A 23,912-nucleotide genomic window follows, 5' to 3' on the forward strand; every position below is an offset into this window, starting at 1 on the left:
TAATTGTATTCCTAGGTATTTCATTCTTTTTCTGGCCATTGTGAAGGGGAGTTCATTCATGATTTGGTTCTTGGCTTGCCTGTTATTGGTATATAGAAAAGCTAGTGATTTTTGCACATTGACTTTGTACCTTGGGACTTTGCTGAAGTTGCTTATCAGCTTAAGAAGCTTTTGGGCTGAGATGATGGGGTTTCTAGATATAGGATCATGTCATCAGCAAACAAAGATAGTTTGACTTCCTCTCTTCCTATTTGAATGTGCATTGTTTCTTTCTTTTGCCTGATTGCCCTGGCCAGAACTTCCAGTACTATGTTGAATAGGAGTGGTGAGAGAGGGCATCCTTGTCTTGTGCTGGTTTTCAAGGGGAATGCTTCCAGCTTTTGCCCATTCAGTATGATACTGGCTGTGGGTTTGTCATATATGGCTCTTATTATTTTGAGGTATGTTCCCTCAGTACCTAGTTTATTGAGAGTTTTTAACATGAAGAGATACTGACTTTTATCAAAAGCCTTTTCTGCATCTATTGAGATAATCATGCGATTTTTGTCTTTAGTTCTGTTTGTGATGAGTCACATTTATTGATTTGCATATGTCGAACCAACCTTCCAACCTAGGGATAAAGCCTACTTGATCATGGTGAATAAACTTTTTGATGTGCTGCTGGATTCAGTTTGCCAGTATTTTGGTGAAGATTTTTGCATCGAGGTTCATCAAGGATATTGGCCTGAAGTTTTGTGTGTGTGGTTTTTTTTGTGTGTGTTTGTTTGTTTGTTTGTTTTTGGCACAACCAATTATTTATAAAAATCAAGTGAAGTAATATATAAGGAAGTACCTAGCACAGTTACTGGCATACAGCAAGCACTTCATAAATGAAAGTTCTTTATAAAATTCAAAGCAATATATAAATATGTGTTACAATTCTATTAATAGCTGGATCTTAAGTTTTTTTTTTCTTAACACAAGGTCTCACTCTGTCATCCAGGCTGGAATGCTGTGGTGCAGTCTTGGCTCACTACAGCCTTGACCTCCTAGGCTCTTAAGACTATTTTACAAGTGTGATACATTGGATTACATCACAGGTACAGGCAATTTAAACAAATTCACTTATATGTGCTCAAGGAAGAAGAGAAAAACCAAAAAATAGATACCAAAACAATACAGCAGGTAAAAAGTTCACCAGAGTTGAGTTCCCAGAAATCTTTTCTCTATCTATAACCACTCAGTAGGTTACATCATCCAGTTTCATGGTTTTTAAATACCATCTATCCAAATGCCTACGTAACATTACTGCTTGATGTCTAATACGCTTCTCAAATCAACCTGAACAAAATTGAACTCGAGATTTCCTTCCTATATCCCTGTCCCCCTCCTACAAAAAAAAATCTGTTCCTTATTCAGTCTTCCCCATATCTCAGTATATGAAAACTCCATTCTTGCAACTGCTCAAGACAAAAAATTTAATCTCTTTCTCTTACATCTACTGTCAAACACATTAGTAAAACCTCTCAGCTCTAACTTCAAAACCATTCATAATCTTTCCACTTCTCATTACCTCGTTCAACGATTGCTACCATACTGGCCCAAGCCACTTACCTGGACTACTATAAAAACTTTCTATCTTCTCCCCCTAATATCCTTTCTTCTCTATGGACTTTTCTTTCCATAGCTGCCAGTAATAAAAACATGGCACATCTTTTTATATGCTTAAAAATGTCTAGTGCCTTTCCAAAGTCTTGGCTGTGGCTTACAAAGCTCCACATGAATTGGCCTGCATTCTATTGCTATAACCTCATCTCCTATTATTCTTCCTCCTATTAATTTACTCTGCTCCAGCCACACTGGCCTCCTTGCTATTCTTTGAGCATCCCAGGTATACACTCACCTCACTGCCTATATAATGTCACCTCTCCGAGGTAATTCACATGGCTTACTCCTTTATATCCTTCAGAGAGGCCCATGTTTGAACATTCTTTATACAACGTCCTTTTTTGACCACTCCTGTACTCCTACCACCTCCCCAATCTTTAGCACTCCTCATCTTCCACATTTTCTCCCACAGTACTTATTGCCAGCATATACATTCTAACACACACATACACAAATATATTATCTTTCTCTACTATAATGTAAATTCCAGAGGGCACAAACTTGGTTTTGTTCAATGCTATATGATACCTAAAGCAGCCCCTAGCACATACTAAGGCACTCAGTAAATATTTCTTAAATGAATAGTGAGGCAGAAAGCAAGAGATTAACAGAGAAAATGCATGTGAGTAGCATGTACAATTTAGTTCAAAATATCTGCCTTTTCATTCAATGAACATTTGCCCAGAGTCCTAAGGTAGAATACATTAATCTACCAGTTCCTTAGTTGGACTCAAGTCTTACACATCTCTTTTATGTATGCATGCATCTCAATGCACTAAGGGTGATGAAGATACTTTTTTTTTATAACATTATGTTCAACAAAAGAAACAGTGATCTATTCCAAGAATAAATAAATATCTGTATTAAATTTTTTATAAGTATACTATATTGTTTGGGAGACTTGAGAGATTTACAGGTAATTCTTACTATATGTAATTTCTACCTTTAGACCCAATGCCAATGTGAAATCCAACTCTGGTAGAGCAGTAAAAGCTTGGATGCTAAGTCAAATTTTGACTCTGCCTTTATTAGACAATGTGACATTAGGCAAGTTACTTTCTCTAAAGCTCTGTTTCCTCATCTATAAAACTGAAATAATAATATACATCTAGTGGTTGAGAGGATTAAACAAGAAAATGCATGTAAAGTACCAGCTGCTGCCATAAGGTAAGTAATTAGTGTATGTTAACTGCTTGTTTTATTAAAGCTCTAATGAGCATATTTAACACATCTGGAATTTCTATCAATATTTCTTAAAAGTCACACAAACTGGGTTATTAACTCTAAAATCACTAAAGACATAATAATATAATCTTTAAAAAAAGTTACAACTGAGTTCTTCAAAGACAATAAAATGAGGCATGGAGTCAACTATTCTGATTGTCTAATACTTTGGTAATAATGTTATCTCAACTACAAGTTTATAATCCCACTCAGCTATGGTTTTCCAGTCTTGTAAATCATTACACAAATTGTAAATACCTTCAAAGATGCCCAATGATCCTTACTAATAGACTGCCCCCTCTTTACTGCTGGCTATCTACCTCCCAGGCACTCCAAACAAAAAAGAAAATTGGCAGCCATGGCAAGTTAAAACATACAACTCAGGGCATGACAACTTGCTTATAAATCACACAGGCACATAGCAGGTCCCCAAATCTCTACCATAGTTACTATTCTTCCCACATCTCTATCTCACTCTATAGTTTGACAAAGCACCTGGGAAAGATTATGTTTAAAAACCCCATCGTGAACTAGAGCTACTGCTTTATACCTCATTCTCCCTTTCAAAATTAAAGTCCAAAGATGAAATACGGGGTATCAAGAATAGTGTTTCCCAAATTCTGTTCATAAAGAAATGCACTAAGGGTGATGAAGATACTTTTTTTTTTTTATAACACTATGTTCAACAAAACAAACAGTGATCTATTCCAAGAATAAATAAATATCTGTATTAAATTTTTTATAAGTATACTACATTGTTTGGGAGACTTGAGAGATTTACAGGTAATTCTTACTATATGTAATTTACTATATGTAATTGGGGAAACCTTAGAATAGATCTTGCCAGAAACTCTCAAGGATGTGTGGCATCCTAGTCACAACACATATGATCCCAAATTGATCTGGAAATTCTACTTTCATGATCTTCTCCAATTAAAAACAGCAAGTCAATTTCATGACTTAACTAACAACTGAAAATGACAGCAAAGTGAGCACCAATGCTGAATAAATTGGCATGTCAATTTAATCAATAATAAGAGAATGTATTGAGCTTTGTAGTGAGTTGACAAAATTTGATTACATGATCAGATTCGGTAAATCCATTGGTTTCTAATTTTGGCAAAGGCACTGTTGTTCTTTCAAGCACGCAAGAACAGGATTAGTATTGCATCAAAATTTTTAGCCCAAATAAAAGATGGTTTAATTGCTTCAGGAAAAGAGCCAATAAGCATAATATCAGAATTCAAGGGAGGGGTACAAGCACTAATATTGAGTTCCAAAATTATATAGCAAAACTGGTGGAAGCCATCCAGGGAACAAGTGATGATCTAAATATAGTTCTCTGCCAGAGTTCATATACTGATCAGTAAGTGTCATTACTATTCCCATGGTCACACAACTATAAAAGACAACTCCAGGTCAATGACAACATGTCTTCTCATAATGATAAGGGGTTAGAAAGTTGAAATAAAGTTTGAAGAGCAAAACGAAAAATAAGATTATAAATCCTCAGTCTTTTCTTCCTCAGTTCAAACTCATTATTCCCTTTGTCCTGATAACTCCCTTCAAAATCATTCTCATATCTACCTTTAGACCCTGAAATATTCAATCTTTTGGATATTCCACTCAACTTTTTCTTTTTCTGTCAATCCTCAGCTTCCTATTTCTAGCTATCTTTCAGAATTTTCATTATTTATGACCCACACCATCACCAGAAAGGAAGTAAGGAAAAGAAGTGGAATTTTCACAAGCAATTCAACTTGAAGTGTAAATTAATAGTGTCATTTGGAACAACTCTGCTTCTCTTGCAGAACAAATCTAAAGATTCTCCAAGTCATAATCAGTTTTTTCACTAAGACAACATAATAAACAAATAAGAACTGGTAAATCTCACCTGATGCTTCATATAATGATGCATATATGGTGTTGCAATTTTAATAACTTTGAGGCAAAACGGGCATAGCAAGTTCTTAGTGTTTTCATGGGATGTTCTAAAATGAGTTTCTACATCAGAAAATGATGATGATCTATAATTACAAACCTAAAAAAAGAAAGAAGGCTTAGTTTAACTTGAAAATTTAAAACTGATATGCAATTACAAAGGAACAATGATGGATAATTTGTCAGGAGAACATTATGTACTACTAATCTAGCTCTGATGCCTTTGCAACCAAGAATCTCACTAAGGCAACACCAAAAGACCATCTTTGAGACATTAAACGTAGCTTTCAAAGTTAAGGGATACATCCCAAAACAAAACTAGATCTCCTTCTCTTTATCAGATCTTTTTATCTATCACCTTCTGTCTTGACTTGAAGTTTCAAGCTTTAGCACCTCTTGCTCTATAAAATGTTTTTCTGCTACATGAAACAGCATTCTCCTTTAGATTGTTAATGGCCTCCAGGTTTATGGCAATGGCAATTTATCTTTTCCTTGCTTTCCTCTTCCTTCAAATTCTTCTTCTTTGGAAAAATACTTTTGCCAAAGCATTTGGTAGGGTTCTTTGTATCTAACAGCACTTTGTATTTCCCTTGTATGACTACATTCTTCCCTATGTAGCACAGTAAGTCCATATGTTTGTTTTTCTACATACAACAGGACTCATCTTTGTCCAGTACAGAGATAAGCAAACAAAAGCCTGTGGACCAAACCCAGCTTGCTGCCTATCCCTCATATAATGCATAAGTTATGCCAAGTTATGCATAAGTTTGCTGACCGCTGGTCTAATAGGCTTAAATTTTATAACCAAAACAACAAACAAACCAAACACTTAAAAAAACAATAAAATGTATGTGTACCTGGCAGACATATGGCATTTCACCAGGTTTATGATTGTCCTTCATATGTTGTAAAAGAACATGTTCTGTTTCAAATGACAATTCACAGATTTTACAAATAGCTAAATGTGGGAGAGAAACAGTATAATAATATTTAAGATATTAATATAAAAATTAATTTTATACATCTATATCAACAACAATAACAGTAGCAGTAGGGACAGTTGTGAAGAGTTAAACAGCTTGTTAACTATGTGCAAAGAACAGTTCTAAGCACTCACATTACCTCACCTACATTAACTCAACTCCTATTAACAACCCTATAAGAAAGGTATTTCTGTTATCCGCATTATTCAAGTATTAAGTAACGTGGCTAAAATCTTGTAGCTATATTAAGAGGCAGATCTGAGATTTAAAACCAAGCTATCTTGCTCCAACATCTGTAATTTTCTTTCTTTTTTTTTTTTTTTTTGGAGACAGTATCTTGCTCTGTCACCCAGGCTGGAGTGCAATGGCGCAATCTCGGCTTACTGCAACCTCCGTTTCCTGGGTTCAAGTGATTCTCCTGCCTCAGCTTCCCAAGGAGCTGGGATTACAGGCATGCACCACCATGCCCGGCTAATTTTTGTATTTTTAGTAGAGACGGGGTTTTGCCATGTTGGCCAGGCTGGTCTCAAACTCCTGGCCTCAAGTGATCTGCCCACATTGGCCTCCCAAAGTGCTGACTGGGATTACAGGCATGAGCCACTGCACCCCGCCTGTGATTTTTAACTAAAACAGTAGTTCTTTTTCCTATTAAAGTTTAAATGAAGAGCAATGATTTAATATTTTAAAACTAGGATACTAGGCTCCTAATTTAGTCCCCAACATATAATGCATAGTTTATGTCAAGGCAATTACCATACTGAATTATTTGCAAGAGGCACTTTAATATTAGTAACTAATTTTATTTAAAAGTTTATCACAGTTAAAACTTGGCCTTTCAATTTTGCCCTCAAATTCCAAAGTCTAGTTCTCATTCTCATTTTTCTAACAGGCTTCTTAAGGTTTTCTCACAATTTATATTAGCGAAATCAATAATATGGAATATTTAAATGTATTGGTAACTTACTAGAAAATTCATGGGGCGTATGTGTACTTTCGATGTGACACTGCAACTGAAATGGTGTGGGAAACTGACGGTAGCAGTGCTGGCAGGTGGTATGGTTTTCCCAGCTCTCACTGCTCTGCTTCTCAAGTTCCAAATGGTGTTTCATGTGGTTCATAAACCTATAAATGGTTGTCAACAGGTGCAAAACTTGAGATTTAAAAACAAAAAGGAAATCTCACAAACAAGAATCTGAACCTAAATCTTAAAAATATAGATGTATTACTCAAACTCTCAAAAGTCTTAAAGTTGCCTAGGAAAGTATGCACTTTTAAATAATCACTTTCTTTAAGTGGCTAAGTAAACATCTTTTTACCTTTGCTTTAAAATAATTCATTCATGTAATTAATCTGAAAGATCAACAATTTGATATAACTCTTAATCATTATTTCAGATTATTTAAAAAATTTTTTTAGATAAAAGAACAGGCTTCTGATCCATACTTGAAATCCTATTTACATTTTAAAATTAAATACTAAAAGAAAGGAAACTCTATATCCATACTTGGAATCCTATTTACATTTTAAAATAAAACACTAAAATAAAGGAAACCCTATCACCAAAGGCAGCTACAGAGTCAGGAGGAAATCTTTTAAGGCCTTGAAAATATACAATAGATTCCAGCTACTTAAATGACAAATTACTAGTATTTTTACTTGTATCTTGGTTTCTAAATGCATGTAATAGCAGTTTTGATGCCTACAATTACAAGAACCTTTTGTTTTATTTAATGATACTGGTTTACTGTTAGCACAGACTGTTCATCTTAACTTGCAGACAGTGCCCTTTGTAGGCAACATACATTTTTCAGTTTTACATTCTGCTACTTCAGCTTCCCTAATAGGCTTCTATGAGCAGGAATTATGACCTTCAATGGCAGAGGGTGCAATATAAATGGTAATACATTTAAAAGAGCTTACTAAAGCTTTTTGCTGAATTTGAGAGTAAAGTTATTCAACAAAAACAATAATTTTTAGACTAGGTCAACTGTTAACAATTATTCACTTTGAATCCCTAAAAGAAATTATCTTGAAACTAAGTGATAATGTCATCAATCTAGATAGCAATCATCATGAAGATTATAATATATACCTCTTTTCACAAATTTACAGCACTATTCTCTTTAGAGTGGGCTATGGTACACCTTGAAATATCTTTTCCTCCTTTGGTTTTAACAACAGCTCTACAAATGCTTACAAAAAATCCTGGTCGTTGTTAAATATTTACGTTTAGAGTAAAGATCATGAGCCATTAAACTTTCAGCTCACAGCTTTCAGCACTTAAAGTCTATTAACATAAAATGTTCCCTTAACCAATTCGCTTTTTCCCAATTATTATATGAGTTCCCATCAACTCATACTTCTCAAACCAATAGAAATGAGGGAAACAGCAAAACCTCTTGCAAGGATGTTCACAGAACAAGATAAATCTAACTATTTTTAGTGACACTCAATGTAGGAAAGAAACTCCATACCACAATATATTGACATGGCAGAGAAGAGAAATGAAATGTTGAGCTATCAATTTCTTATTATTCTCTATAAATATCAAGTTGCCTTCCCAGTTTTTACTGTTGAAGTAAAATATTATATAATACATTTAACTTCTTTGTTCACGAGGTGTTTACCATTAAGGTTACATTTAATAAATGATCAGTATTTTTAAAAATACTCAATTCCTGGATATTATCAGATATAATTTTCTTAAAATCTGTAAATATTATGAAAGCCTAAACATACGTAGCTAGTCTTCATAAACATAACCAAAAAAATGAATTTTTCATTTTCTTTTTATTTTGAGACCATCTCGTTCTGTTGCCCAGGCTGGAGTGCAGACGCATGATTACAGCTCACTGCTGCCTCAATCTCCCAGACTCAAGCGATCCTCCCACCTCAGCCCCACAAGTAGCTGGGACTACAGGTGCACGTCACCACGCCCGGCAAACTTTTGTATTTTTTGTAGAGATGAGGTTTCACTGTGTTCTCCAGGCTGGTCTGGAACTCCTTTGCTAAAGCGATCATCCTGCCTCAGCCTCCCAAAGTGCTGGGATTACAGGCGTGAACCACCATGCCCAGCCCCATTTTCATGTTTGCTATTAAATGGGCTAATCTTAAAGGAAAGGCCAAAAAAATACTGCTGAAATAACATAACCTCATATTTCAGTACAAGACATTAAGTCAATGAACCACACTGCTCTGCATTTTACCATATTTACTAACATGATTTCCCGATGTTGGCATGACATCAGAAATAGGTGGTAGAGTTCTACTGCAACACTGTTTCAACGTTTTATCTCAAAATACACTTTCCCTTTTGTTAAACTACTGCAACCATTAGCTATTGATGGCCCTTAAAGTTTGATAAGAGGAGGTAAAGAAATAAGAAAATTCATATAAAATAAGTGAAAAAACTTTGAAAATTATAAAGCACTATCATAAAGAAACCATTAATAACTGTTATAGGTGTATATCACAGTGTATTTCAGGATTTTTATGTATGCTTCTTTTTGGACCCAAGGACTCACAGGAAAACAAATAAATGCTGAACTCAGAAGTAACTACAGCTGCTTTGAAATGCTAATTACAGATGACAGTTACCAAGAATAAACACAAAAGGCATACATATATGTATATGCTGTACACACATGCACAAACACAATGCAGATTACCTTGAAATGCACCAAAAATCAGATAGTTCTAAGAAGGATGAAGAGATACATAATAAAGCAAGTATAGTAAAATGTTAATGGTAGAATCAAGGTGGTTAAGTGTACAAGGGTCCAATGTGAAATTTTCAAAACTCTGCTTAATATCTGAAAATTTTTATAGTAAAGTGATAGGAAAAAACCTTATCTAATATAAATATCAGGCTACATAATCAACAAATAATTTCACTCAATTTCTTATTACTTTTCTCTTGTTACTAATTTATACAGAATAGTTTCAAAGATTACAACTGAACGATTATGAAGTACAAATTTCTAATATTTAAAGCATTCATATATTCCACTGGGAATTAAATCCCCAAATTTCTAAAGCTGTTAAATTTTAAAATCAAAACAGACATGCTTCCTAGAACTGATACATCTCTAAAACTGATAATTTTTCCTGCAAGATTAATGTTCTAAAAACTATAAATATAAATTGAAAAATTTGAGCATTACATAGAGGAGCTCAACCTGAACAAACACAGAGTGGTTCTTCTTGTAATGTGAAGAAATATAAAATTCAAAGGCAATTAGAAAATAAAAAATGTCTAATAAAAATTCAAAAATCACGACTAAAACAGAAAAAAGAAGTTCATTTTGTCTTAAGTTAAAATAAACAGTCTTTTCTTAAGCTATGTGAAAGAAATATAACTAACTGGATCCAAGAGTCAAACTCCACAACACAAGAAAGGACAGAGCTTTTCAACAAGAGAATCCGCCTTTATTCTCAGTAGAAAGTGTTAAAATCACTTACCTAGAATGGCATAGAAAACACAAAATAAAAGTATAACATTTTTATTTGCAGCATTTCAATTTTCAATAGAAATAAAAACAAGTATTTACATACCTAATGTTATTTTTTAGAATTTTCAAGCAACTGAAGCATTTAAAGGTTGTGTGAGTCTTCTGTTCCTCCTGGACATCTCCTTCATGTTTTCCATAATAAAAGTCATTAACTAACATGATCAATTTTCCTTTCTCTGAATCAATAGTTGTGTTTTTATTTACTGTACTTGAAAATTCTGTTTTAGCCAGTCCCAAAAAGTTATTTATCATGTCTGGACAACAATACTGAAAGAGAAAAAAAAAAAAAAAAAACAAGCCTTACTTATTCTTTAAAAAAACCACATACCAAAAAGTGATTGTGTGTTTACACCTAAGGCCAGACCATTAAAACTATGCTTGTAATATATCTAGAAAAATAGTCACCAAAAATTTGTGGTGCATGTACATAGTCTAAAAATTCAAATAATAAACACCTATTATCTTCATGTAAAAATTCAAAAAGATTTGAGAAACCCTAAAACCAAGACATGGCCATAGCTCTAACAGCTTTACCCTTGCAATTTGCCTTTTTAGATGTAAATATTTAATAATAATCTGTTCCTTAACTAAAAATCATTCATCTCATGTCCACGTCAAGATGTATAGAAAGGAAATGTTTATATGCCTTGATGTATATATTTAATTATCAAGTGATATATAAAATTTCATAAAGCCTGGTTGAGGAAAAATTAAAATATACAAAAATTATATAATATAGAATAGGCTCCTTAATTAGAAATGTGGATAATCTTCTGTCCCAAATGTAAAATTATCAAATAACATTGCAAAGTTAGTCTATGAACATTAAAGATTACCCTAAAATAGCTATAAATTATGATACCCATAATAGATGATAAATTACTTGCTGTTTTTCTATTTTTTTAACAGAAAAGTAGGATAGGATCAGATTTTTTAAATAAACATATAAACTTTGTTCACAGAGTACCTTTTAAACAATGTTTCATATCTCTATAAAAGAGCTGAATAATAAACCATTGACAACCAAAAATGGACAACAACTTGTAGTGAATTAGGGTGAAGGATTTAGTCATTGAGAACGGCAAAGTATCCTTGCTTATCCAAAAAAACAAATAAGCACCTTAAGAGATGAGAACCAAGCTTAGATTTAAGGTTTTATAGGAGGATAGAGCAAGCTACGGAGGGGCATAGCTGAGCTGTGGTACAATATCAACTGGTCATCTTTTATTCAGCCCTGGTACCTTTTAGTTTTATTAATAGATCTTCACTGCAACTCCTTATTTATCCCTTATTTTTGTGGGTTAAAGATTCTGCAAATATTAAATATGTACTTTAATGCCATATACTATAGTTTGACAAATATCAGGCACCATCTATCTATCATTCTTATCTTTACTCCTCCCAGTACACAGACCATGTTCTGTTGCTTTGTTAGTGCCCTAAAAATTTAGGTGGGTTTTTCAGAGCAAAGGAGGTGAGATCCTATTTTTATAGTTAAATAGGGCTTCTCATGTGAACATCCAACATCAGTCAACATTTTCCTCTTTTCCTCCTGAGAGTCATCCAAAAGCTACACAACCAAATTCCACAAATTGGTTTATCATTGAAACTAAGGGTCAGATAAAAGCCACAGACTCCATAATATACGAAAGCACTATTCAAAGAAGCCAACATCGGGCAGATGGCATTTAGCTAGAAGTAAACCAGAGAAGTAAAGGGGACCCAGTGGTAACAGATCTTAAAGGGTCAGTAAAAATACACATCTTAAAGGTGAAACACATATTCTGAATCACAAGGGTATATCCTCTGTTTGCAAAAACAGGTGCAGAAGCTGAGGCAAGAAGGATGGCAGCAGAAGTACCCCAGACCTGATTCAGTACAGAGAAGCAGAAAGGCGGTGCTACATAAAGAATCAGACACACAAGTCACAATTGCAGGAAGCCTTCTGCCCAGCAAAAAGCTGTTTAAACCAGCTAGCAAGCTGTGAGACTATCCTGGCAACCTATGCTTCCTCCTAAAAGGAACTTGTATAAAACAGCTGGCCCAAGAAAATCCAACTTGTTAAACACTATAGGCACTCACATCTAAACAAAAATACCATGTAATAAAAGAAGGCAAATAACAGAAAAATGTAAAATTCTAACAAAAACATCAGAATTATGCTGCCGTGGAGCAGTTGCAGATGAAAACAGTAGCCACAAATTTTAAAAACATAATGAAGCAACTGCCTCTATTTGGAAGACCACAAAGCAAGAAAAGATGCCAAGACAACAAGATATTTAGAAGGAAAAAAAAGAGTGGCAAAATCAAGGGTGAAAGTATAGGAAAAAAATAAAATCAGAGACATGAAGACAAATTAGGAAGGAATACAGTGGTGAGTAGACATTGCAAGGGTGAAAGTATTGGAAAAAAATAAAATCAGAGACATGAAGACAAATTAGGAAGGAATACAGTGGTGAGTAGACATTGCAAATAAAATAAAGGAAACATATTAGTAGGAGAAAAGTCCATTTAAAAAAATTAAGGATTAGAAAAAAAAAGACATATGTCAGGGAAAGAAGATAAAACAAATTCATATTGGAGATGAAATTGTATGGAATAAATATTTTAAAATACAATTCAAATAAACTGTGCTAAATCCAAATATACAGGTTGAAAGAACAAGGTGTATGCCAGAGAGGACTCACCCAAAATTCCCAACACCAAGTTATATCATTATAAAATTATCAGTCTTCAAAACATAAAGAATGTAGACAACCAAAAAGCTACAGACTGCCAAACAAGAAGATCAAACCACTTATAAAAGGCAAAATAATTCAGCTTGTCCCAGATTCCTCAAAAGCAACACTGAATACTAGAAAACGGGAGCTATACCAACAAAATCCTGATAGTGGGATTCAATTTACTTTATATTAGATCAAACTGTCTTTACAGAATGGACTACAGTCAAATTGCTTTGAACATGAACGACCTCACAGAAAGATGTTTTCAGACTCCTCCTAAATGAAATTACTACAGAATGAACTTCAGCCAAACAGAAAACGAAATAAACCATGACAAAAACACTGATGATGAACAGTGGATTATATTTACTGTAGAAAAAGATCAAAACAAATATGACATAAGGTAAAAAAACAAAACAAAACAAAACAAAACAAACAAAAATGTAATGTCATATGCCCTGACAATGGAAAAACAATACAATGAACAAATAAAAATTGGGAGAGGATAAAAGGACAAAGAGTACAAGGTGAAGAGTTCATAGATTGCCTCACAGTTCATAAAGGAATATCAGTTAGAGCCACCAAATAAAGTAATATAGGTATAGACATTTTGACAGCAAAGGTAAACAAATGCTCAGACAATATTGACTAAAATCAAGTAGCAAAAAAGAAGGGAAAGATGGGTGGGTTAAAAACAGGAAGTTTCATGCTACTTTAATCCTTCCTCATAGAAAAGAACAGTAGAGAATTGCTAAAGGAATAGAAGACTAGTGGAGTTATACATTAAAATTAGAAACATAATCAGGAGAACAAAACTACAACTCTCTTAGAAACCTAAGCTACACACACATAAAGCAACCACATTGTGAAAGGCTTTTAAAAAAGAGAGAAAGAAAAATTTTAACAGAACTAAGACCAAATAAATCTATCATATTGGTAAATCTAAACCCACTATTAAAAGAAGAGATTTTCATATAGGATCACAAAAGAAAAATCAACTTTGCTAAAAGCAAAAGGCACACCTAAAACAAAGTAATTCAGAAGAGTTGAAAATAAAAGACTAAACAAAGAATACACCAGGTAAATGGAAACCATAACAGGGGTTGTGAGTCTAACATCAAAGTAGAATTTGGGCTAAAAGGCACTAACCATTAAAACCAAGAAAAGGATATTTTATTAAAATGCTAAAGGATACATTCACAATACAGTTATTTATTTTATTTTTGAGACAGTCTCACTCTGTTACCCAGGCTGGAGGGCAGTGGTGCCATCTCGGCTCACTGCAACCTCCGCCTCCCAGGTTCAAGCGATTCTCTCGCCTCAGCCTCCCAAGCAGTGGGACTACAGGCGTGTGTCACCATGCCTGGCTAAGTTCTTGTATTTTTAGTAGAGATGGGGTTTCACTATGTTGGCCAGGCTGGTCTCGAACTCCTGACCTCAGGTGATCTGCTGGCCTCGGCCTCCCAAAGTGCTGGGATTACAGGTGTGAGCCATGACTCCCGGCCTCATAATATAGTTATAAAAGCTAGATTCTTCTATATCATAAACAACAGCAACAACTTTGAAACAAAATTGCAATATATGAAAGAAAATACTGGTAATGAAAGCTGTGGACTGAAATGTGGTGTTTCCCAATCCAGGACAGATCAAGTGGACTAAATGGAAGTGAAGACACAGAAATATAAATATAATTAATAAGCTATATTTGGTTGATAAATATCGAATTCCATACCCCAAAGGAGAAGTAATATACCTATTTTCAATCTTCCACATAATATTGAATACCCCCTATACTTTACAAAACAAAAAGGATTTGTGAAAACTTGGGCTTTACCATTAAAGAAACTGAGTTTTGAAAGCTAGTTACGCCAGTTAATTGGTTATACAACAATGAGAAAAAATAATCTTAAAGAATTTTCTAAGGATTAATGAAATAATGTATTTAAAGCTTAGTACTGTGTCTGACACATAGTCTCAGATAAGTATATTTTTCTAATTATTGTAGAATATTTGATATTTTAAATATTTTTCCATTGAAAGAAAACATTATATGCTAGTTGGCAAAAAAATCATTCACAAATAATGTAAAAATCACATTCTTTTCAAAATGAAAGTTATTATAACACTAAAACTTTAGCTGATACATAAAAATATATAAACTAGAAAATAAAAAGTCCCCACAGATTTAAACTTTCCCTTCCTAGATTTGGAGACTATTCTTTCAAGATTTCCTTATGATATAAACACATACACTGTTCATATTATCTTCAACTTAGTTCAGTTGTAAGAAATACAATTTCTTACAATGACAGAGATACTTTCCTTATTTAAAATGTCATAATGTTCTATTATATTAATATGAAAATTCTATGAAGTTCTGGTTGTTTCTACTGTAAGTAATTACAAACCATGAAGTAACACATAAAAGCCACATTTTGGAGAATGTTGCCATTCTCTCCAGATGCAGAGATATATATAACATGCCACAATTTCTGTACAAAATAGAAAATAAGAACACTCATGTTTACTTGTACATCCAGAAAGAAACCCAGGGAGCATTCAAAACAAACTAATAAAAAATTATTTTCTTTGAGTCATACTAGGAACCAGGTAAAAAAAGACACAGAGATAAGATTCTTCACATGTATATCTTTGCAGGCTTTTTAATTTTGAATCATGTGACTGTATTGCTACCTACTTAAAAAATTAAACAGATAAAGAATGTAGTCTTTGTTTTCTTCATCTATAATGCAAAACACAAAAAACATCAGAAATCTCATCAAAACATTACACAGAAGAGGAAAATTGAAAGTACTTCTACAGGATAATTCTCCTATAAGACCAAAACACAACGTGCAGTTATCCAGGGCTATACTCTGAGAGTAAGGACAGACCAAATATGGCTCTGTACGTATATAAGAAGACTGTATTTATAACTTTTTTAAGTTCCCTTATTTTTTCTACCTTTTTTGTAAAATGCTGAATTTCAATAAAAATATGTCAATCTCTGAAACAGCAAAAACTTTTCCTAAGTTACTTCTTTGCCATTGCACCCCTCTCCTTCCTTCTTTTCCTTATATAATCTACACTGCCTTTTTTCTGATCTCTTTTCTCCCTTCCTGTCATTTATACTGGGCATGCAAGGGGAGTACAGACCATCTCTACACAAACACAGCAGGATACTATAATATCTACTAAAATACTTTAAATGTTACCTAAATCTCATACTTCACTAGTACTTTGAACATTTCTTAAAACCTAAATTCAGGGGCTTCTTGTACCAATAAAAAGCTCAAATTCTGTAATCCCAGCACTTTAGGAGGTTGAGGCGGGCGGATCACGAGGTCAGGAGATCGAGACCATCCTGGCTAACACGATGAAACCCCATCTCTACTAAAAATACAAAAATTAGCCGGGCGTGGTGGCGGGCGCCTGTAGTCCCAGCTACTTGGGAGGCTGAGGCAGGAGAATGGCGTGAACCTGGGAGGTGGAGCTTGCAGTCCCCAGAGATCTGCCACTGCACTCCAGCATGGGTGACAGAGCGAGACTCCGTCTCAAAAAAAAAAAAAAAAAAAAAGCTCAAATTAATTTACACAATTATATGAACTATATTCTGGACTGAGTTAAAACAATTATTTCATATGAAATGCTTCAACATTTGGAGTTTATACCTGAGTGTTAAAAACTAAAATGTAAAACTCAGATTTTCATTGTGTAATGTGACATGTACATGTTAACATGGACACAAAAATAAGGTAACGGAATTTTTAACTTATATGCAAAAGTAAATACGTAATAAAATGCCTGTTTTATAAGACATTTGAAGAGTATGACCTAATAAATAAAATAATCGGATTAATACATTATTTTTATTTAAAATTAAAATACAATAAGCATACATTATAATATATACAAATTTAAGTTTTAAAATTTGAGGATTTAGAAGGAATTTGAGAATCTATATAATCATTATGAATGTAAATTTTTATTTAAATTAAATGGAAATACCAATGAGATTATTTCTGGACAAACCATTAATTACTGTAATCATCAGTATTTTTAGAAATGTGCAAACTTTTTACAAATTAAATTTTGAAAGAGTTTTACCTTCATGTGATTTTTCAAAGGATCCAAAAGATTGAAATGAATGTTGCACTTTGGACAAGCTCTTGGAAAAGGTGTTCCATTTTTAGACTGATTTGATGAGGTATTTGTACCTAAAATAAATTCAGAACATTTATGACTCAAAATTCATCACTTTTTAACCTTAAATAACCACTAATAATACTTTTAAAATTTATAGCCACTTCAAAAATGTATGTATAAATACTATAACTTCTTTTTATGTACCACATTTCATATTTACCTTTTGCTAGCATAGCCTGGGAAGAAGTCACTGAAGGAGATTTAACTGAAGGTAATACAGCTGAGGAATTTGCTCCAGAAACACTTTCGCTGGGTTTAGGCTTCTTTGGATTAACATTATTTACTTCAGAAGTAGAAGGACGTTTTGATAAAAATGAACTTTCACTCATACCTACAATAATTTAAATAGTGAGAAAAATATTTTTTAAAATTAGAATATTATTTACATCTGAGTAAAAATATTTTGGAGCTAAATTAAAGGTAATATAATTGAATTATCATATCATGACAATAATGATAAAACTTGATATGATCCAAACTCAAGGGTGTAAAGAAATTGCACATATATTTATCATGGACTACATACATTTAAATAATTAAAAAAATAATCCCTCTATGAAAGAAAATTCTAAATATGGCTTCAAATAAAGAAATATATAAATAGCTATCACAAAGGGAGCCAGACCAATATTCCAAGCCAAAAAAAAAAGTATACTATGAATAAGTTCTGACAAATGAATTATCTTTAGATGCTTAAGTGCATTGAGTACACTAGAGTTTGTAAAAAAACAACAATTACCTGTTTCAAAAATTTAGAGATACTCTTAAGATGCTTTTTTCAATTTAACAACTTAAAATGTCTAATGGAAATTTAGTTCTTTCCTACCTAACAAACTGAAGAGTAGGTAAGAGCGGTCTACTCATGGCTTTGAGTGGTATTACCCATTCATCGCTACGCAGAAAGTGGAAATAACTAATCTTGAATGATAACACTTCATTCATTTATATGAAAGGACACATAGGCCAGGCACGGTGGCTCACGCCTGTAATCCCAGCACTTTGGGAGGCTGAGGCAGACAGATCACGAGGTCAGGAGATAGAGACCAGCCTGGCAAACATGGTGAAACCCCATCTCTACTAAAAATACAAAAAATTAGCCTGGCGTGGTGACGGGCACCTGTAGTCCCAGCTACTCGGGAGGCTGAGGCAGGAGAATGGCATGAACCTGGGAGGCGGTGCTTGCAGTGAGCCGAGATCGCGCCACTGCACTCCAGCCTGGGCAACAGAGCAAGACTCTGTCTCAAAAAAAATAAAAAAACAAAGGACACATAATGGAAGTAGTGAGTATAATGATTTTCACACATAATGGAAGTAGTAAGTATAATGATTTTCACACTATGTTCCCCAGAAATTAATGGGTTTGTTTTAGAGAATATATTGAGCATGTTTAACAGAGGAACTCTTTTTTCTTTTATTTAAATTTTGCATAAAATTTTTATATAAGGATTTCATTCCTAAAAATACTTTCCCATTTGAAAACCATTTTGTTAAGGCTGAAGGATTTTAGTTTTATTTAATGCATTCTCAAGAGAAATGAGGATATCCAGGCTATAAAAAGGCTCGGAAAAGTTTTTTTTTGAAAATAACATACAACTGTACTTTGTAAAAGAGATTCTAAATCTGTACATCATATTTTAATCCTCACAATTGTACATTAAAAGTAGAAATGGTACGGTAACTATATTAGAAGTATTCCAGGTTTTAAAGTCAGATAAGTTCAAATCCACACCTTGTCACTCTCTAGTTATGTTAATGTTACTCTCTAGTTATGTTAACTAGTTAACTTGTCACTCTCTAGTTATGTTAACTTGTCACTCTCTAGTCTAGTTATGTTAGCTTAATTTCTCTAAGCCTCAGTTTGCTTTTTTATAAAATAAGTTACAAGTTTACAGAGCTGCTTTAAGGACCAAATAAGATAATGTACTTAAGGCACCCAACAAAACATTTGGTACACAGAAAGCACTCAGTAATAAATTACAGATATTATCATTACTAACAAAATATTTTATATTTAACTTACCTCAGAGGGGAAAAATATAATAATAGATTAACCTGTCAGCTTTTTAATAAGGGCAAACATTACAGCAAAATAAGAGTATTATACTACTTGGCTTCTCTCTTTCATCCTTTTCAGATAACATAAAAATGATTTTTTTCCATCTTCAAAATACTCGATTACTGATAGATATACTGTAGGTACATTGGAAAAATTCTGTATAATCACATTCACATTCTTGTGAGATGTTTAAGTTACCTGAAAAACCAATGAATGCTGGAATTCTGAATTAAGCATCTGATTATATAGGAGGCTGGACAGTAGAAACAGACTGCTTTAAGAATTTTTAAAACAAGAAATCTCAAGATTAAATAAAATCACTCTGTATTTGTTTTAAATTTTGATGCTTTAACTTATTTCTCTGCTGTGTTTGGCTTGTGTTGCTCCCTACCCTCAACAGCTCTCTCTCTGCTGGTAAAAATCCTATTCTCATTCAAGATTTAGCTCAAATCCAGTTTTCTCCAAACCCCCATAATCTCCCTAGATGGTAGTGTGTTAATCATGTTACTGAACATGTGGCACATATCATTCATAATTATCATTCAGAATAACTGTATTGTCAAGTCTTTTAAAGCTTATAATGTATTCTCACATTTCACTTGGATTTGGACATAAAAAATCCCTAAGTAGAGCAAGAATTAAAGTTACATGTCCAAATGAATGGTTCCAGATGTGAAGAATGAATGCATTCTACAAAAAAAATTAAAATCTCCCTTTTAACAATATGAGAAAACCAAAGTGGTTAGGTAACTTAATAGAGACTACAAAAATCTTAAGAATAGAGGATCAAATCATCCCACTTACTGCTCAGGCTAAAGTCCCACTCACTGAAGTAGAACACTTATACAGAAAGAATAGGAGTCATTATTTCTCTTTATTCCCAAGAAGTTTCAAGAATTTAGACTTTTTCTATGAATAAATCTACATGCTTTATGAAACCAGACTTAAGACAACTATTTTTTTCTCCCTGTTTCTTTTGGTTCTTACCTATTTCACAAACCAGATTGTTACTAAATACGTAAGTGACACCCAGAGAGGTGAATATCAAATCAAGTATTAAAAAATTGGAAAAACAGTTTAAGTTTATAATAAAAGTATTACTATTAAAAAAAAACTGGGAGAGGGTTTGGTAAATTCTCCGCACTGATTTGCTAGTAAATCTAAAAATTCCAAAAAATCATGTATACGTCTGTTTAGTCAAATATTTGAATAGATACAAATTGCTAAGATACAAAGAGTAACTGCCTTGATTACAGGGAATTTTCAATTAGATAAAATTATTTTATAGTACACTAATTTATTTTAGATTAATGAAGAACTTTGTTACAGTATACAATCAAAGAACTTTAAATGTTCCTCAACAGGGAAAGTTCACTAATCCTTCAATGTACATTTCATGAGTACTTACTATGTACAAATCACTATTTATTTATTGTTGGGAGTTTATAATAGCACTTTATAATCATATTGAACTATCACGCTGAAACAATTAGAATAGAAAGACATTAAACTAATTAAGAAATCAACTATAGCCATATATTTTTCACACTAGTGTCCATAGAAACTAATTAATACTTTTTTAAACAGAGTATTCAGGCTACCTGAGAAGTTCTCTAACTCACAGAAATTATTTTAATATTTCTCAGCTATGGTTAGCTCCAAGTGAGAATTAGTTCAAAGTTGGTTAGCTTACTTAATAGGAAGAAATAAAATATTCTGTCATTAAATAGGATTTTACAGAAAATTACCCACATAAGGTATTCAAGTACTAGTGACGTTCCACCTTACAATATATGAAAAACTTCACACAAGGGTAGGGACTTCAAAACAGAAAGTCAATCTCATATGCATATTCATCAAGTTTCTTTCTATAACCTTTATGAAAAAAATACTAAAACCAACCTGCCATAGAAAGTGTTGGTCCCCCTTGGTAATGTGATAATCCTGTATCCTGGGTCAAGTCAAACAGTAACTCTGATGACTTATTAGACACAACTCGTGATGAGTTTGTTATATAACCCTGTTAAATAGTTCAAAGGAAAAATAATACATTTATTCAACAGTTATAATTATTTCAATATAATTATATATTATGTAATTTTATATAATTATATAAGAATTTTATTTCATAGACATTTATAAAAGTAAATTGTATGCCCAATATTCTAAGGAAACCCTTTGATAACTCAATTATTAATAAGTTAAAAACACAAAGATAATTGCTACTTTGCCAAAATTATCATCTACTGAAACTGAAAGCAAGCTATTACTTAGAGCTGGTTTACTGCTGACTAGAAAACTAAAATGGGGGGCATATTCTTAGTTCAACTTCTTCAAGGTAAAAGAAACATAAATCAACTTATATATCAGTAAGATTGATACACTTTAGATGACTTCTAAAGATTCAGTATCCCCATTAAAGGACAAAAAATAGAACTTAGCAAAATCTTTGGGCAAAAGCAAGGAGAAAAAAAAAACCATATTTACATGACCAAAAAAATTAAAAGCTTCTATGCTTCTAAAAACCTCACATCTGAGATATCAGGGCAAACAAACGGAATCAATCTGCAGTATTGTGCATCAGTGTTAAGGATGAATATATCACATAATGTGAATTTTGAAATCATCTTTATTGGAGAAATGTATAAGCTATGTGTCAGAAAGAGAAAAAATGGGCCCCACACACTTTCCATCATCCCATAGAAAGCCACGCTAGGCCAGGAATCTTCTGTCTTATCAGGCAAATATGAAAGCAAACCGGTCAGTAGAGTGAACAAATAAGAATGCCAGGCAGACAGGGTTTAGAACAGAAGTTGTTTATGGGAATAATTGGGGCCAGCTGTCCTGCTCCTGGAGGCCTCGGGACTCAAAGGAAGTTTTAGCCCTTCCATCAGGAGAAAGGGTGGTCCAAACTAAAAGGAAGATCTTAAGAAGAGAGGAGTGAAAAGTATGAGATGAATGATAATGGGCTCAAGTATAAAGCAGTATAAAGTTATATATGAGCATACATACATGGTGTACATAATTATGAAAAATATGGTCAATATAATTTAGGGACATACACTCCGATATTATTATACATTAAATATAATGACACATACACACACACACACACACACACACACACACACACACACACACACAAGTATACTCCAATACCATTAATACTTCTAAAAGATACTCATTGTGGACGGTAAGCTCTCAGAGTGACTTTTGGACCATTCTACATGTCATAATACATAACAAGCGGATTAACAATGATTAAAAATTAAAGGAAAAAAGGCTATCACTTTAGGAAAAATATGGGCAAAGGACATAAACTGAGAGAATTCAGAAGTCAAATACTAATGAACAACATATACGAAATACCTTTTTTCCAAATTACCAGCCAAAGAAATGCAAATAAAAACAACAGCAACATTTAACTAATGAATTGGCATGTTACCATAATATCTACTACAAAATAAATTAATTAGCCACTACTCTTAAAAGTGTCAAGTTCATGGAAGACAAAGAAAGAATGAATAACTAGAAAATACGAGGAAATTAAAAAGAAGTAACTGCAAGTATCCTGAATAGGATACTGGGCAGGAAAAAGAACATTAATGGGAAAACTGATGAAATTCCAGTAAAGTCTATAGTTGGGTTAATGTTAATTACCCAGTTGTGATAAGATGTTAAAATAAAGGGAAACTGGGTAAGGGGTATATGGGAACTGTTTGTACTATTTTTTCTGTGTCTAATATTAGTTTGAGTTAAAAAGCAATGATAACATTCATTATTGGCAAAGTAGAGCTTATATTTTAGTATAATTTTTCTGCATAAAAGCTTTGGCAGTAGCTACTGAAGGCTTTAAAAGGTTCACTTCCTTTGTGTGTGTGTGTGTGTGTGTGTGAAATGGAGTTTCACTTTTGTTGCCCAGGCTGGAGTGTGATGGCCTGATCTCCGCTCACTGCAACCTCTGCCTCCTGGGTTCAACTGACTCTCCTGTCTCAGCCTCCTGAGTAGCTGGGACTACAGGCTCATGCCACCACACCCAGGTAATTTTCATATTTTTAGTAGAGACAGGGTTTCATCAGATTGGTCAGGCTGGTCTTGAACTTCTGACCTCAGGTGATCCACCTGCCTTGGCCTCCCAAAGTGCTGGGATTACAGGGGTAAGCCACTATGCCCAGCCGGTTCACCCCCTTTTATCTAATTATTCCATTTTTAAGAATTTATGGTAATGAAATAAAAATGTTTAAGGGAAAATTAGTTATAACAGAAAAACAATTATAACCTGTATGTCTAACAATGGAGAAATGATTAAACTGATAAAACTATTGTGCAAAAATTAACTTTTTTTTTTTTTTTGAGACGGAGTCTCACTCTGTCACCAGGCTGGAGTGCAGTGGTGTGATCTTGGCTCACTGCAACCTCCACCTCCTGGGTTCAAGCAATTCTCCTGCCTCAGCCTCCCGAGTAGCCGGGACTACAGGTGCACACCACCATGCCCAGCTAATTTTCGTATTTTTAATAGAGACAGGGTTTTACCATGTTGGCCAGGATGGTCTACATCTCTTGACCTTGTGATCTGCCCACTTTAGCCTCCCAAAGTGCTGGGATTACAGGTGTGAGGCAC

General features: G+C 33.6%; 1 protein-coding gene across 3 annotated transcripts in view; it reads right to left on the reverse strand.

Moving 5' to 3' along the window:
- ZNF280D (zinc finger protein 280D) overlaps nt 1–23,912 on the reverse strand; it is a 103,334-nt gene that overhangs the window by 41,729 nt on the left and 37,693 nt on the right. For all 3 annotated transcript variants that reach the window (NM_001002843.3, NM_001288588.2, NM_017661.4), the window contains 7 exons: nt 21,194–21,311; nt 17,396–17,566; nt 17,137–17,246; nt 10,350–10,573; nt 6,760–6,917; nt 5,670–5,770; nt 4,766–4,912 (listed from right to left, as the gene is read on the reverse strand). In NM_001002843.3, the coding sequence (NP_001002843.1) occupies nt 4,766–4,912; nt 5,670–5,770; nt 6,760–6,917; nt 10,350–10,573; nt 17,137–17,246; nt 17,396–17,566; nt 21,194–21,311 (1,029 nt within the window). The remainder of the gene's footprint in view (nt 1–4,765; nt 4,913–5,669; nt 5,771–6,759; nt 6,918–10,349; nt 10,574–17,136; nt 17,247–17,395; nt 17,567–21,193; nt 21,312–23,912) is intronic.

This window comes from Homo sapiens, chromosome 15 (genome assembly GCF_000001405.40).
Source record: "Homo sapiens chromosome 15, GRCh38.p14 Primary Assembly".
Classification (NCBI taxonomy): Eukaryota; Metazoa; Chordata; class Mammalia; order Primates; family Hominidae; genus Homo; species Homo sapiens.